The sequence below is a fragment of the Homo sapiens genome, chromosome 1 (genome assembly GCF_000001405.40).
Source record: "Homo sapiens chromosome 1, GRCh38.p14 Primary Assembly".
NCBI classification, from domain to species: Eukaryota; Metazoa; Chordata; class Mammalia; order Primates; family Hominidae; genus Homo; species Homo sapiens.
The window spans coordinates 116,031,000-116,047,228 of NC_000001.11; the positions used below are offsets into that span (position 1 = coordinate 116,031,000).

Consider the following 16,229-nt stretch of genomic DNA (forward strand, 5'->3'; position numbering starts at 1 on the left):
ATATCTTTGACCTGTGCTTTATGAAGAATTTTCATTATTCAGTCCTATAGACTGAATAATATGTTAATATTTAACATATTAAAATTCACATATTAAAATTTATTTAAAAATAAATGCATACTGTTTGCTTTTTAAACTGCAATTGTAAAGCATGTTCTTGGTTTTCAGTGATAAAGTAGACTACCATTTAATGTTAGCATGCTGTTGAAAGTAGCCCTTTCATATGTTATTGGGAGAGTCAAACTTTAAGTCTAACATGGAATCCCATTTGTGGTGCAGGAATCCACGTACTGAGTAGGTGATTTGTCTCCTTCCTGTGCACGTGTACCTATATGAATATACAGGCTTTAATGACATCTCTTTCAGATTCATTCCTGAATCACCTCGTTGGTTATACTCCCAGGGTCGACTGAGTGAGGCTGAAGAGGCGCTGTACCTCATTGCCAAGAGGAACCGCAAACTCAAGTGCACGTTCTCACTAACACACCCAGCCAACAGGAGCTGCAGGGAGACTGGAAGTTTCCTGGATCTCTTTCGTTACCGGGTCCTGTTAGGACACACTTTGATCCTGATGTTCATCTGGTAATTATACTAAGGCGTGTTCTGTTGCTCTTTAACTAAGGTTGCTCGAGCTTCTCTTGATATCCTGCTCCTTCTTCAGGGTACAGGGAATTTTACCTCTTTTGTTAGCTTGAGGTTGTTTTCTCAACAGCAAGTCTCCTGATCCTTAGCGCCTGGTTTTCTGCTTGCGCAGCCCCGTCTTTCTCAAGTAGCAGATGATAGTGCCTGATGGGCAGGTCCACTGAGCTTGAGTAAGTAGACATCAGAAGCACATCTTTGCTTTTGAGGTATTTATCATAAATATTTAAGCCTTCCTGCCCCTTCCCCTGCAAAAAAGGAAAGAAAGCAAATAAGCATGGTAGAAATAGATGAGTTTTTAAATAGGACTTTAAAAATACTTACCTTTGGCACTGGCATCAAGCAGTTTGCTAGCACATTCTGATTGCGGTGCTCCATGCTGCATTTTCTGTGGCACTCCCACTCACTAACTCACTGAGGTGGGCTAAATATGATCCCTTGTACAGATGGGACCCCAGGAGTTTGAAGTGATGAACCCTAAGCCACATATGTAAATCAGTGATTGAACTGATGAGCACTTTCTGAACCTGATTTTTCTGGTTGTTTAGCTTATTCCCACCTACCTTTCAAAATGCTCTCAGCGTGAGTGTAAGTTGCATTCAGCGGTTCAAGATGGTTTCATTTAAAGAATGAAGTTGTAGAAAGAGGAGAAATGGATGGGTGCATACAATTTGTGGATTGCACATGTGTTTTGATATTGTACATACTGCTAATGTGCCATAAGTGTTATCTGGGCAAAATCATACCTACTAGCCTAAAGGACAGTTGTGCTGTGGCTTATATGTATTTGCCATGAAGCCTGCATGGAGCCCTACATTTCATGCAGGGATAAAGGAAAGTGATTTTATATGAAAGTGATCTTATGTATAAAGCTACAAAGAATAGTAGCTTTAGAATAAGAAGCTGCAAAGATATTTTTCTATATCATATACTCTTTTTCTACCCAAGCAGTGGCTGCCACCTGTATGGTTGGGGGCCATGTTAACCAACTGCTGCTTTCCCCCACAGAACCATCACAGCACTAGGAATATCACAGATGCATAATAAATGTTGAGGCTTGGAGGCATGGAGATTAAGAAAACCGTTGAAAGCCAAACCTGACAACACAACATAGGAGCTGCTAATTTGAGGTTCTACCCATTCAAAAGCAAATACTTACAAAGTATGTTCAGGTACTTAGGGCTCCATAAAACTTTACATTTGTGTATCACATAGACAGTCAGTCAACCTCTGCCTTGGAGGAACCACCTACTTGTTGCAGATTATTCACTATTTTTATTTTTTCCCCCATGTATATTAACTTCTGGGTTCTGGCCTTCAATGGATAAACAAACAAACAAACCCTAGACTTAGGGCCAGGGAAACTGTCCCTGTTCATTTTATTTCTTACACAGCCAAATAAACTTCTTCCCTGAGGCTGAGAATGTTAAAACATGTGATAATAGAGACAGTCACTCCACATATTGCCGTTCTTTTTGAAGATGCTATAAAATTCTAAAATCTTCTCTGTGGATCTGTCATTCAAGAAAGCCTTAACTGGGGATTCAAATTATACCTCTGTGTTAAACATCTGTTCCTTTAGTTATTTTCCACAATAGTGCCTTTTTAAATAATTATTTGATGCTCTAAATATACTGTTAAATATTATGCAAGCATTTTAGATTTTGTTTGGGGGACATAAAGAGGATTGAAATGATTTTAATAGCTGTAATTATGGATCCCAATGACCAACTCTATGACGAAGGCAACTTGCAGAGCAGAGGCCCAGCCCTGGGGACAATGGGCCTTCCATGCTTCATGCTCTCCCCGTTCTCTCTCACCACCAGCTGGGAACTAAATTCCACTATTGTCCTGAACTGGCTTGTCTATTCTTGCCCTGACTTGATACTGTCACAGCTTGATTTAAATAGGGGTGTCTCTGTGTGTGTGTGTGTGTGTGTGTGTGTGTGTATGTGTGTGTGTGTGGCTGGAATTTCTATTGTAAATGCAGAACAGACACAGAAAACCAACTGGGAAACAGCATTATGTAAATGCTGTTTCTGCAGGTGTAAGGGATTTTAAAAACGTTTTAGAAAACTGCATGGATTTAAATTTATTTTGCCTTCTGCTTTCATGCAAGATACCTGGGAGACAGTGAGAACAGACAATGCAGTGTCACCTTGCATCCTTACATGTGATGTCCTGGCTACAATCCTGCCCGTTGTCCTTGGTATATGAATAACACTTCATCTCAGTAAGAAATCATGCATAATACTTCTGGCTCATTTGCTAGGGAGGGCTGGACTACTAACCACTCCAGCTTGAGGGTCCCTTCTCTTTACATCTCTCTCTTCTTACATTACTACAGCCTGGGGTACTTGGCCCACTTCTGAGATTAAGCAGAGATGGAAATAAAACTTTCCCTTTCCTGACTGATCTCATTATAGCCACAGCTCATTAGAGTTTCTCTAAGGAAAACTAAAGGGAAGCAAATGAGAATGTCCCCTTAATAAACACTGATCAAACTGTGTTGCAAAAGCATAAAACCTGATGAACTTAACAAAGCTTCGGTGTTTTACTGCTTGTATAGAAATTTGTGGTTTACCAAACATATTCATATTTTTGTAAAGCCCAGTTTCAGGGTTTTATTTTTGTTCATTCTATTCTATTTTGTTTTGTTTTATTTTAATAATGCAGTTTCCTAGGCATAGAAGTTCCTACTACCACCATTACTGTGTTTGAGGAAGCCCTGATTTGGATCTTTAGGTTGGCACTTGGCTTCCTCAGCTCTTTAGTTCTTGGATTGTAGGAGAGAGGCTTGGTGCCTAGCACTATGCCTGCCACCCAAGAGGAGCTCCCTGTTTGTTTCAGGAACGGTGTACATAAATAAATTAATGGCTTTTTAAGTGACCCTTCCTCGGTTGTTCCTCCTAGAAGATCCTGCCTTTGCTGTGACCTTTAATTTTTCTTTCCTGTTCTGGGAGTCTGTATCATGTGCACCTGCTGAATGCAGGATGGGGTTAAAACCTGCAATGGGAAGTGTCTGGATCATTGGGGATTGGAGTGCCAGTCATTTTGGGCCTGCAGGTGACCCACTGAAGATCCAGTCACTTCTCAGCTCATGTTCTTAAGGCCATCTTCTGTTGGCTTTCTCCATGGGAGTTCTTTTCTAGAATCATTTCAATAATATTACAACTATCTATAACAAGTGTTCCATAAATTGTTGCCTTAAATAAAGAATAGGGTCATTGTGTTCTATTAATTGCAGAAATGCTTGCTGAAAGCACATGCAATGTCTTTCCTCTTTAAGGGGCTGGCCATCCATTTGATTTATATAACATATAGACATAGCTCAAATTATTTCCAAACCCCCATAATTTTTTTGTTTTTTCCTAGTGTTGAAATTTAGATTAAAATAGAAAAATTAGTAGGAGAGACAAGCTTATTGCTTACAGCAGATCAAGCAATTATATTGAACCAATATTTGAATCTCCTCTGGCAAATTCTTATGTACTTTTCTGTTGTCCTTCTTGTCTTTTACCTCCTGGTCCTTTGACTCCCAATTGCAGGTTTGTGTGCAGCTTGGTGTATTATGGCCTAACTCTGAGTGCGGGTGATCTAGGTGGAAGTATTTATGCCAACCTGGCCCTGTCTGGCCTCATAGAGATTCCATCTTACCCTCTCTGTATCTACTTGATTAACCAAAAATGGTGAGTAAGTGTGGATGAATATGAAGTGCACCGTAGAGAATGCACACATACACATATGCCCTCTGATACACATGCATATCTATATGGTGTTGTCTTTGTATGCAGTATCAGCTGATTGCTCTGTGGTGATTAGAGTTTCTTTCCATCTAAAAACAGTTAGAATTCATTTCTTAGTGCAGGATTTCTTGAGTTTCATGTTTACGAGTTTTTATATAGATTTCAATTCAATATTGAATATCGAAATCCAAGATAGTATTGAATATTACCATCAGAGGGTTTATGAGTAGTCTGTATGTAATTTGTTAGTCTCCAGAGATGAGATTATTAGTTCTGTGTAGATGAAACTCTATAAACCCAATTAGCAATAAATATTTAGAAGTTCTTACAAGAAGACAAATAATTGAAGGAACTAGAAAGACTTTTCTTATCTTCTGTGGCCCATCTTACTTTGTTGAGGAGGCAGAAGATAAAACCTTCTTTTGCTACTCATTGTCAGTGGGCACAGTTTTGAGATAGATTTTAAACGTTATTTTATAGAGCACCCTTTCCTCAGTTTTTGAGATTGCTTCTGTTACTTAGTGCCTGACCAGGCCACTTAAAAATCCCATTCTGTATGAGCTGGGAATCAGTTGGATTATGCCATTTCTTTTTCTCCAAAAATCATCATTCCAGCCAAACTCAGAATTTCTTTGGTGTTGTGCTTAATGCCCTTGTCATGAGGTTTTAGTCTAGAGTGTTTTGAAGGGCAGGTTTGGATTCTGTTAAATTGAAGGCTTGTCTCCCAGGGAGTGTTCCCAGTTGCCTCTGCTGATCCCTGTGATAGAGGCTACAGCTTACTCTCATCATGATCCAAGAGCTGGATCAGGTATTGTATTCAGAAATCTTTCCCAGCACCCCCAGTTGTGCCAGATGCCTTTCCTCTGTGCTGCTCTAGCACCCTGTGCATACCTCTGGGGCCACTTAAAAGTGTTATAAGGAAGCCGTCCATGGGGGTATCTTATGTGTCTTTGTATCCCTGGTGCTTGCCTAGCATGGTGTGTGTTACTTGAAAGGCCTTCCATATTGACTGTTAAATTAAGCAAAATGACCTGGAAAAGAACACTCAAGACCTTCTTAGCGCCCCCCAGAGTTAGGATTGAAATCTGAAGCAGAGGGAAGGAATGCTACCTTTGTGACCAGGCAGACCTGAATTCAGATCTAGTCTTTGCCATGTGTTCGTTTTATGACTTTGACAAGTTTCTTCACTAAGCCTCCCTTCGTACTTATCCCCAAACCAGGGATTGTAAAATTCACTGGCAAAATTATCAAAATTATTGAGGTTCCTAGTAAAAGTACCTAGCATGTTGTAAGCCCCTAGAAAAGGGAGACTTTCTAATGTTAATATCTTTCTTCCAAGTCTAAGGCTTTTATTTGAAAATTGCTTCTTTCAACAAAGTATGAAATAGCATTTCACTTATTTCTAACCCACTGACAAATTTTTTTCTGTGTGTATTTTTAAGAGAGAGAGACTTAAGAAAAATGCCAAAACTTTAAACTGCATAAAACCAGAAAAGGTAACCAGAAAATAAAGGGAGCTGTTAGAATATTCTCCTTGTTTCAGTTTCATTCTCTAAAAGATGGAGAATATAATAGTACATGCCTACAGGAATTTTATTAGGATTAAATAAGATAATAGATGGTAAACATTTAAAACAGTGTCTGAAACTTAGGATTTATGGAAATAGATAGAATGATACTATGCCCTTTTCTCACACAAATCACTTAATCCTGCCATCCAGCAACTTTCCCTTTGTTTTATAGTGGTTATTTATTTTGAGTCCTAGTCAGTTTCCTATCAGTCACATTTGCCACTTAGCCTTAAGAGGAGATGAACATATATAATGAAACTGAAGATTTTTAAATAAGAAGGTTGGGAAGAAACAGATGAATTTATAAGGTTCTTAAGAGAACTGTGTAATTTCTTTCTATTGTTTAGGTTTGGTCGGAAGCGAACATTATCAGCATTTCTGTGCCTAGGAGGACTGGCTTGTCTTATTGTAATGTTTCTTCCAGAAAAGAAAGGTATGCCTTTCAAATTTCTACAAGGGTTTTGAACAGTACTTTCATTACAATGAATCATAATATAGTGGAGAGATGACCATATGGCATGCTTCATTTCTGTGATTGCATATTGTTTAGCAATTGTGTGGGATATAATGGGCCAGATTCTTTCCTTTGCTTCAGCTATTCTCTGGGTGAATAATGTGTGTAGAGGTGCACTATTAATTCTTTCAGGCTATTAAGCTACCATCTGGGGTGACTGAGATGTAGTATTGGTGATGTTAGAGTTGTTTATTTGATGATGAGGAGGACTGATTAGTTCTTCACAGAAAGAAACTTCATCCAAGGTTGCAAATTGCACTCGTCATTACAGCCAACCACAAGATTGCAGAGCAGAGCCACTGGTTCTCAAAGGTGGCTTTGGTACCCCTCAAATCTCCACCATGACTCTCAAGGAACTCCGACAACAAGAATAATGGGGATGGTATTCACTGTTGGTGACAATGGATAGTCTCTTAGTCTTATATAAATGTGAAAACACCTAGTTAGGAAACTGATATTTTTATATATGTGTAGCTTTTCTATGCAAACACAGCTTCAAGAAGGATCCCTTTAGCATTCTAATATAACCTGATTACTGCCCCTGTGTAGACATTCTGTAGCTATTGCTGGTTTTCAATCTCTTTTTTCACTAGCACACCTGAGGTATGACAGTGATTGCCTTGGGAACTGTGTTTTTGGCCGTGATTTTCTAGAAGGAGGAGTGAGTCACAACAACTCTCTCATGCTGGAGCATGTGATATAACAAGAGCCCTGTCTTAGGGGCTTTTGGATTTTGATAGGGTTCTGTTATGGAGCTTGCACTCCAGTAGGCAATCATTGTGAGACGATTTGACGTAAAGTTTTGATAACTACTGGAAATGCATGAAGAATTCATTTTTTGTCAGAGTATATCAGGTATTAAATACTCCTTTTGTAAATTGCTTCTTGTGGTTCATTTCTGCGTGTCTCATTAAAGACCCCAAGGCCATGTGTTCTCCCTGTTTTATAACCCTCCAGTATATCTACTCTGCTGTTGATTGCCCCCTGAGTTCTATACCTTGAGCCTCGAGTGTAATTTGCTCACTACTTAGAGTTTACCCAATACTTAGAACAGCTTTAAAATGATTTTCATAGAATCATGGAAACTAGAGAATTGAATAAATTTGCCCATTTTTTATTCTCTGAGCAAATGGGTGCTCCTGCTAATGCTAAGTAGAGGAGGAACTCCCCAGCTATTGCCCTGACATAGACTTGTAGAACTAGGTGCTCAGTTTTGTTTGTCTTCTGGTAAGACTGTGATGGACTTCAAATCGTTGTAGTTTTATATTCAGCAGATTTTGTTTTGCACAGGTACCTTGAGAATTCAGTTTCATTTTTTTTTTAAGCTGCAATAATAGTCCAGCTTTCTGTTTATTGCCTCATAGAGAAAAACTTGTCACTAGTCCTATATACACACGTGTAACCTATCACACCTTCATAAGCCAGGCCAATTAATATCTTTCCTTCCCTCCCACTTATTTGCACACTCCAGGTAACCTATCCCCTAGGACTCTACATGTGGCCCTTTCTTGAAATGATCTCTCCTTATAAATAACAAGACAAAAATCCATGGTGAAGGCAGATGTATGGTCTCCCCTCCAGACCAGCAAGTACCACTCTATTTAATTACAATCTGTTTTAAGAGAGCAGCTTGGACCTTTGTTGATTGTGCCCCTTTATGGACACTGAATAAGAAACAGCGTAGCAGAGTATCTTTGGCACTCCACAAATGTGCCTCAGGAGCATGTTGCCTCTGTTATACTTAGAAAACGTGGATGTATTGTCTATTTTTAACGATTTCTTAGCTGGGCATGGTGGCTCACACCTGTAATCCCAGCACTTTGGAGGCTGAGGTGGGTGGATCACCTAAGGTCAGGAGTTCGAGACCAGCCTGGCCAACATGGTGAAACCCCATCTCTACTAAAAATACAAAAATTAGTTGGGCATGGTGGCGGGTGCCTGTAATCCTAGCTACTAGGGAGGCTGAGGCAGGAGAATTGCTTGAACCCAGGAGCTGGAGGTTGCAGTGAGCCTAGATGGTGCCATTGTATTCCAGTCTGGGTGACAAGAGCAAAATTCTGTCTCAATTTAAAAAAAAAGATTTCCAGGGAAATTATTTCTATTTTTAATATTTCTACTATTTAATTTTAATAAATAATTTCTATAATTAATAACCATTACTATTAAAATTATCCTCTTCCACTACCACTGAGCCATTGTCTTTCATTTAATTCATCACTAGAGAGAGAATATATGGTCACCTTTTTTGTATAATCCTTTCTATGCTTGCAAAGTCTTCCAGCTATGCCTGAATTTTCTCTTCTTTCAGATAAATAGTAATTGTTCTTTAAACTTTCTTTAAACCTTTTGTATTTACTCTTTAAAATATTTTGTTGACTTTTTTTTATCTCAAGTTTTTCAAAGCTTTAGGCTACATTTATAAAAGTTCTAATAAGTACATATAAAGAAAATGACCTAGCTGTTTGAAAAATTCTGTAGCATCTTGTGTTAGTTTGGAGATTACTCATTTTCTGTTTGCATTTTGTGTTCCTTTGCCCTCACTTTTCCTTACCAAACATGCCTTCAGTCTTGCCTTTCTGCCAACTCAGGTGACCCTCTACCCACCATTATTTTTTAGCACCTGTATTTGATTGTGGTTCTCTGTGTCAGAAGCATTCGTGGAGACTGTGACAATGTATCTCTAGAAGAGATAGCCAGTAAGCCAGAAAATAGATTGTTTGGCATTCCTCAGCCTTTGGTTTATAATTGTTAGACAGAAGTGTCCTGCCCAGTATATATTTGCATGCTGGTTGGCATTGAAGTAAATGTTCTCCTCTGGGAGTAATATTAGCAGGTGGCCACTAATGTTTTTCCCAGATTAGTAATCAGACATTTTACCTGAACTCTGTGCTTGCCTGGAGGATTCTAATTAACCTTAGAACACTTGCTACCATTTATTAAGTGTTAATCAAGTGCTGGATTCTCTTTATATGCAGAAGGTATTATATATTATCCCCATTTTATAAGGAAGCAAAATCTCAGATTGGTCAAGCAACACGTCCAAGGTTGCATAGCAAGTAAGTAGCACATCCGGGATTCAGATTCTTTCCAACTCTAAAGTCAGTCCTCTTTTGGGTATGCTGTTTTCTCAAACTCTTAGAGAGATTTTTTTGTATGGTTTGTTTTGAGACAGGGTCTCACTCTGTTTCCCAGGCTGGACTGCAATGGTGTGGTCATAGCTCACTGCAGCCTTGACCTCTTGGGCTCAAGCAGTCTTACCACCTCAGTCTCCTGAGTAGCTGGGACTACAGGCATGTGCCAGCCATGCCAGGCTAATTTTTAAATTAAAAAGAAAATTATTTTTGTAGGGTGGTCGGGAGCTCCTGGTCTCAAGTGATTCTCCTGCCTTGGCCTCCCAAAGTGCTGGGATTATAGGCATGACCATCATGCCTGGCCAGATAAGAGTTTTAGAACCAAAGTATTCGTTGTAAATAATGAAGCTGAAGTCAGAGGATTAATGCTGCCTGATTAAACCCAGTTCTTAACTCTTTAGTGTGCAGGCCTGATAGGACTTGGCCAGTGTTGAAGAACCTGGGTTATCAGAGTGGCATTGGGCTCTCATTGATGAGGATTATGGCAGTTGTGGTCCTGCCAGAGAATCTGAACAGTAGGAGATCATGGCATGATAAACACGGTTCTTAGTGAAGGAGTGTCCTTAGACTCAGCCCTAGTGGAACCTTCATATCTCATTTCTTTTCCTAATGTTGGTCTGCACATTTCTTTATTTGACTTCTCTAGTGTCTATGATACAAAAGATACTATTCATAAACAAAATCTAGTTCCTGGTCTCAAAGAATTTACAATCTAATGAGAGTAATTAGGGATTCAAAAATAATAATAAAAATCAGTACTATATGAGAATTGACAACAAAATGCTATGGGAACTTTAAGCTCAGGCCATGATAGTGATGAAGACCAGCTGACTTGCTTTAAACAACAATAGAACCAGACAAAATATATACATATAAGAAATATTGATTTTCAGACATTGGACAACAGACTGCATAGGACAGGCAATGATCCCTGAGAGGAGAAAATAAACAAAGTAGGCTCTGAAAATGCCCTAGCACATGGTTGCCAAACCACAGTGCAGGGAAGGGAAGCCCAACAAATCATAGCATTCTTACTAAATTGAAGAAACAGAAATTGAAGCTTGGGGAAGCCAAGATGTCTGGAATTTGTTGAGCAAAATACTGGAGAGTAGTAAGATACACAGAGGGAGAACTCCAGAGGTCTGCAGAAGAAACCTCCTAGTCTTTGATTTGAGCATGCATTTGAAGAAACTACTGAGGCCAGGGGGAGACCACCAGAAAGTGGCAGGCAGAACAATCCTTGGATTGTTGAATCCATGAATGGTTTGTGTTCTCTTCAGCCAGTTGCAGAGCATTGGATAGAGACATCCTAGGTCAAAGTCATTTTAGGAAAACCCTGGTTTGTTTGTTTGTTTGTTTGTTTGTTTTGCCATAAAAGTGCTTAAAAACAAAACTCAGAAAGATCAGTTGATTCCAAGTAACTTAACTGCATCACGGAACAAAGACCAACAAGACTTAAAGGAACAATAAAGTCCAGCACCCCAAAAAATAACATTAACAAAAAAAAAAAACATTGAGTGTGTAGCCTCCACTCAAAATCACCAGGCATGCAAATAAGCAGGAAAATACCTCCCACAAGTAGAAGAAAAATCAATAGAAACAAAACCAAAAATGCACAGATGATAGAATTAAGAGACAAGAATATTAAAACAGCTATTATAAATGTACTCCATGTGCTTAAGAATACAAGCAGAATACAAGCAGAGAGGCCAAAAGAAAGAAAAAGACACTTTCATCTAGAGATGAAACATATAATATATGAAAAAAATACAGTAGATGAGATTAGCAACAGGTTAAACACTAAACAGAAGAAAAGATCAGTTAAAGACATAAAAAAACTATACAACATGAAACAAAAAAATTGAATAAAAAACTAACAAAACATCAGTGAATTGTGGGACAATATTAAGTGACCTACATAAGTGTAATATTAGTCTTAGAAGGAGGGGATAAAGAAAAAGTATTTGCAGAAATGCTCAAATGCTTTGCAAATTTGATAAAAACTATAAACACATAATAAGAAAGTGGTCAGTTCATCAAGAGGATAGAGCAGTCCTAACTGTGTTTGTGTATACTTGTAATAAATTTATAGTACACAAAGCAAAAACATACAGAATTGAAAGGCGAAATAGACAAATCCAAGAAACACAATACTTCACTATCACTTTCTCAATGATTGATAAAAAGGTAAACAGAAAATATAGACTTGAACAACCAATAGGACCTGATTTATAGGTCACTTTACCCTAAACCAATAGAATATGTATTCCATTTGAAGTGCACACAGAACATTTGCCAAGAGAGACCATATTCTAGGCCATAAAACAAGTTTCAATAAGTTTAGAAGAATTGAAAATTTACAAAAACAAGTTAGTTGACCAGACTAGAATTAAACTAAAAATCACCAACAGAAAGATATATGGAAGATCCTCAAATATATGGATATGGAACAACATCCTTCTAAAAACATGTGGATTGAAGAAAAAAATCACAAGGAAAACTGGAAAATATTTTCAATTGAACAGTAAAATATACTGTATCAGCCCGGCACAGTGGTTCATGCCTGTAATCCCAGCACTTTGGGAGGCCAAGGTGGGTGGATCACTTGAGGTCAGGAGTTCAAGATCAGCCTGGCCAACATGGTGAAACCCTGTCTCTAATAAAAATACAAAAATATTAGCCAGTCATGGTGGTGTGCACCTGTAATCCCAGCTATTTGGGAGGCTGAGGCAGGAGAATCCCTTGAACCCGGGAGGTGGAGGTTGCAGTGAGCCGAGATTGCACCACTGCACTCTAGCCTGGGTGAAAGAGTGAGACTGTGTCTCAAAAAAATATAAAGTATACTGTATCATAGTTTATGGGAGGCAAATAAAGTAATGCTTAGAGGGAAATTTATATAATTCTTTTAAGTATCAGAAAAAAAGAAAGTTTTCAAATTAATGATCTAAGCTTCCAACTTAAGAAAGTAGATAACAAATTTTAAAAAAGAAGAGCTAATTAAGCACAATGCAAGCACAGGAAGAAAATAATAAATATAAAAGCAAAAAAATCAATGGAATGAAAACAAACAATGGAGAAAAATCCTTAAGACCAATACAATTATTAAACCTCTAACCAAGATAATAAAGAGAAAAGGAAGAAGACACACATTACCAATATGTGGAATGAAAGAGGGGACATCACTATAGAACCTATAGGCATTTAATAAGGGAATATTATGAACATTTTTATGTCAATAAATTCAACTTAGGTAAAATGGGCAAATTTCTTGAAAGATTATAAACTACCAAAGCTTACTTAAAAACATATAGATAACCTGAATAGCACCATATCTACTAAAAAAATTGAATTTGTAGTTAAAAACATTCCCACAAAAAGAATTCTAGGCCCAGATGGCTTTACTGGTAAATTCTATGAAACGCAAAAGAAATAGCATCAATTGTACACACTTTTCCAGAAAATAAAGAGGAGAGAATAACTCTCCCGGCTTAGCCTCTAAGGGCCTGCAATTACTTTGGTACCTAAACCAAACAAAATAAAGGCATTATAAGAAGAGAAAACTACAGATCAATCTCTCTTATTAATATGGATGTAAAAATCTTAAACAAAATATTAGCAAATTGAGTCCAGCACTGCATAAAAAAGGCAATACATAATGACTAAGCAAGTTTTATCCCACAAATGCAAGGTTGGTTTAACATTTAAAAGCCAATTAGTGGCCAGGTGCTTTGGCTTACGCCTGTAATCCTAGCACTTTGGGAGGCCGAGGCAGGCGGTCAGGAATTTTCTTAACTTGATAAAGAGTATTAAGGGAAAACCTACAGTAAACATCACATTTACTGGTGAAAGACTGAATACTTATATTCTAAGGTCAGGAGAAAGGCCAGGATGTCCATTCTTACCATTTCTATGGAACATTGTACAAAAAGTACTAGTGAATATAATAAAGCAATAAAAAGAAATTAAAGGGATTTAAATTGGAACAGAAGTAAAACTGTCTTTATTCACCAGACTACATTATGATCACCTTCATAGAAAGTCCTAAGGAATATACAAAAAAGAAATCTGTAAGAATTAATAGATGAGCTTAGCAGAGTCATGTATAAACAATTTTCTTTCTACATATTAGCAACAAACAGTTAAAACTGAAATAAACCAATGCCATTTATAATAAAATAAAAAATATGAAAAATTTAGGGATAAATTTTATGAAATATGTATATGACTACAAAAAACTTTAAAATGCTGATGAGAAAAATTAAAGAAGATGAACTAAGTGAATTGGTAATAGCAATAATAATAAATAAATAGATTACCATGCTTATGGACCAGAAGATATTAAGATATCAGCACTCCCCAAACTGATTTATCTTCATTCAGTGTGATATCAGTAAAATTTCCATCAGTCTTCTTTTGGTGATAGAAATTGACAAGTTAATACTAAAACTTTTTTTCTTTTGAGATGGAATCTTGCTCTGTCATGCCCAGGCTGGAGTGCAGTGGCGTGATCTCGGCTCACTGCAACCTCTGCCTCCAGGATTCAAGGGATTCTCCTGCCTCAGCCTCCCAAGTAGCTGGGATTACAGGCGCCCACCATCATGCCCAGCTAATTTTTTGTATTGTTTTAGTAGAGACGGAGTTTCACCATGTTGGTCAGGCTGGTCTCGAACTCCTGATCTCAGGTGATCTGCCCACCTCGGCCTCCCAAAGTGCTGGGATTACAGGTGTGAGCCACCACGCCTGGCCAATACTAAAATTTTTATGGAAATTCAAAGGATCTGGACTATCCAAAATAATTTTATCAAGGAAAAACAAAGTTGAAGAACTTAACTTACCTGATTATAAGACTTACAATAGGCTGGGCATGGTGGCTCATGCATGTAATCCCAGCACTTTGGGAGGCTGAGGTGGGTGGGTCTCCTGAGGTCAGGAGTTTGAGACCAGCTTGGCCAACATGGTGAAACCCCGTCTCTACTAAAAATACAAAAATTAGCTGGGCGTGGTGGTGCACCTCTGTAATCCCAGCTACTCCGGAGGCTGAGGCAGGAGAATTGCTTGAACCCGGGGGGTAGAGGTTGCAGTGAGCCAAGATCGTGCTACTGCACTCCAGCCTGGGCTACAGAGTGAGACTCCATCTCAAAAAAAAAAAAAAAAAAAGACTTATAATGAAGTTACATTAATCAAGACAGTACAGTATTGGCATAGGAATGTCTCTATAGATAATGGAACAGAATTGAGTATGAAATAGAACCACATATATGGTCAATTGATTTTTTTTTTGACAGAGCTGAGGTTTCATTCACCTTTTAAAAATATTTTACTCAGTCATAATATACATACAGAAAAATGCTCATGGTCAATTAATTTTTGATGAAAATGACATGTTAATTCAATGAGGAAAACATAACCTTTTTAAAAAACGGTGCTGAAATAACTGGATCTCCATATACAAAAAATATAACTTCAACCTGTAAATCACATTATATGCAGTAATAAACTTGAAATGGTTGTTTAACTGAAATGTAAATGCTAAAACTGTGTTGTACAACTACTAGAAGAGAACATAGGAGAAAAATCTTAGTGACTTTGAGTTAGGCAAATATTTCTTAACTAGGACACCAAAAGCACAAAAAGAAAAAAAATTCATGACCTAGACTTCATAAAGTTAAAAACTTTTGCTTTTTAAAAGACTCTATTACAGAAATGAAAAGTAAGACACAAACTGGGAGAAAATATCTGTAAAACATGTATCTGATAAAAGACTTGTATCCAGAATATAGAAAGGACTCTAATAATAAGGAAAAAATAGGCAAAAGATTTGAATGGATGCTTCTCCAAAAAGATATAAAAATGGCAAATAAATATGGGGAAAGTTGTTCAACATCATCAGACATTAGGGAAATGGAAATTGAAACCACAATATCAGGATCATCATGGCGGACAGAAAGCAGGAGTAGATTGCTGCTCTGACTCAGATGAACAGAGCGCTGTGTGGAGGCTCGCATCATGAACTTTAGCTCCAGATTGACAGCAAGAACAAACCAGCAATCCCGAGAGGACCCACAGTCCCTCTGAAGGAAGCTGACTGCTCCTGCAGGACCCGGAGACATTCCAAATACTGAGTGCCCCAATTTCGGAAGTGGGAAAGGGAGATCCTCCTCTCCTGAACACATACCCCCACTGGAGAAACTGCAGGAGAAGTTTCCCACCTTACCTGGAGCTGAGTCAATTAAGACAGCCAGCAAAATACAGGGGTGGAGGAAGCAGCAGGGAAGGCCCTGGGAGCTCGCTGGTTCCCTAAGGAAGCCATTCCTGCCTGGCACCACAGGGATCCCTTGGGAGGGTGGCCTAGACCTGACCCGACCTGACAGCCTTCCCTCCCCACCCTGGTAGCTGAAGGCAAAAGACATAAAATCCTGGGAGTTCTAGGGCCCCACCCACTGCTGGTTCCTCTCCATACTACCATAGCTGGTGCTCTCTGGATAGGTGCCACCTCCCAGCAGGAAGCCAACTAGCACAACAATAGAGCATTAAATCACAAAAACTGGCCGCGCACAGTGGCTTACACCTGTAATCCCAGCACTATGGGAGGCTGAGGCGGGCAGATCACAAGGTCAGGAGTTCGAGA

The 16,229-nt window shown here is 38.5% G+C and overlaps 1 protein-coding gene across 25 annotated transcripts in view; it reads left to right on the top strand.

Moving 5' to 3' along the window:
- The window catches only part of SLC22A15 (solute carrier family 22 member 15), a 93,542-nt gene that overhangs the window by 54,487 nt on the left and 22,826 nt on the right, over positions 1–16,229 (top strand). For 10 of the 25 annotated variants that reach the window (XM_047424416.1, NM_018420.3, XM_047424412.1 and 7 more), the window contains 3 exons: positions 367–582; positions 4,188–4,328; positions 6,304–6,389. In XM_047424416.1, the coding sequence (XP_047280372.1) occupies positions 367–582; positions 4,188–4,328; positions 6,304–6,389 (443 nt within the window). Of the gene's footprint in view, positions 1–366; positions 583–712; positions 2,856–4,187; positions 4,329–6,303; positions 6,390–7,063; positions 7,349–7,941; positions 12,729–16,229 lie in introns of those variants that run through there. The other 15 variants (XM_024448239.2, XM_024448238.2, XR_002957027.2 and 12 more) reach the window with 15 other exon arrangements.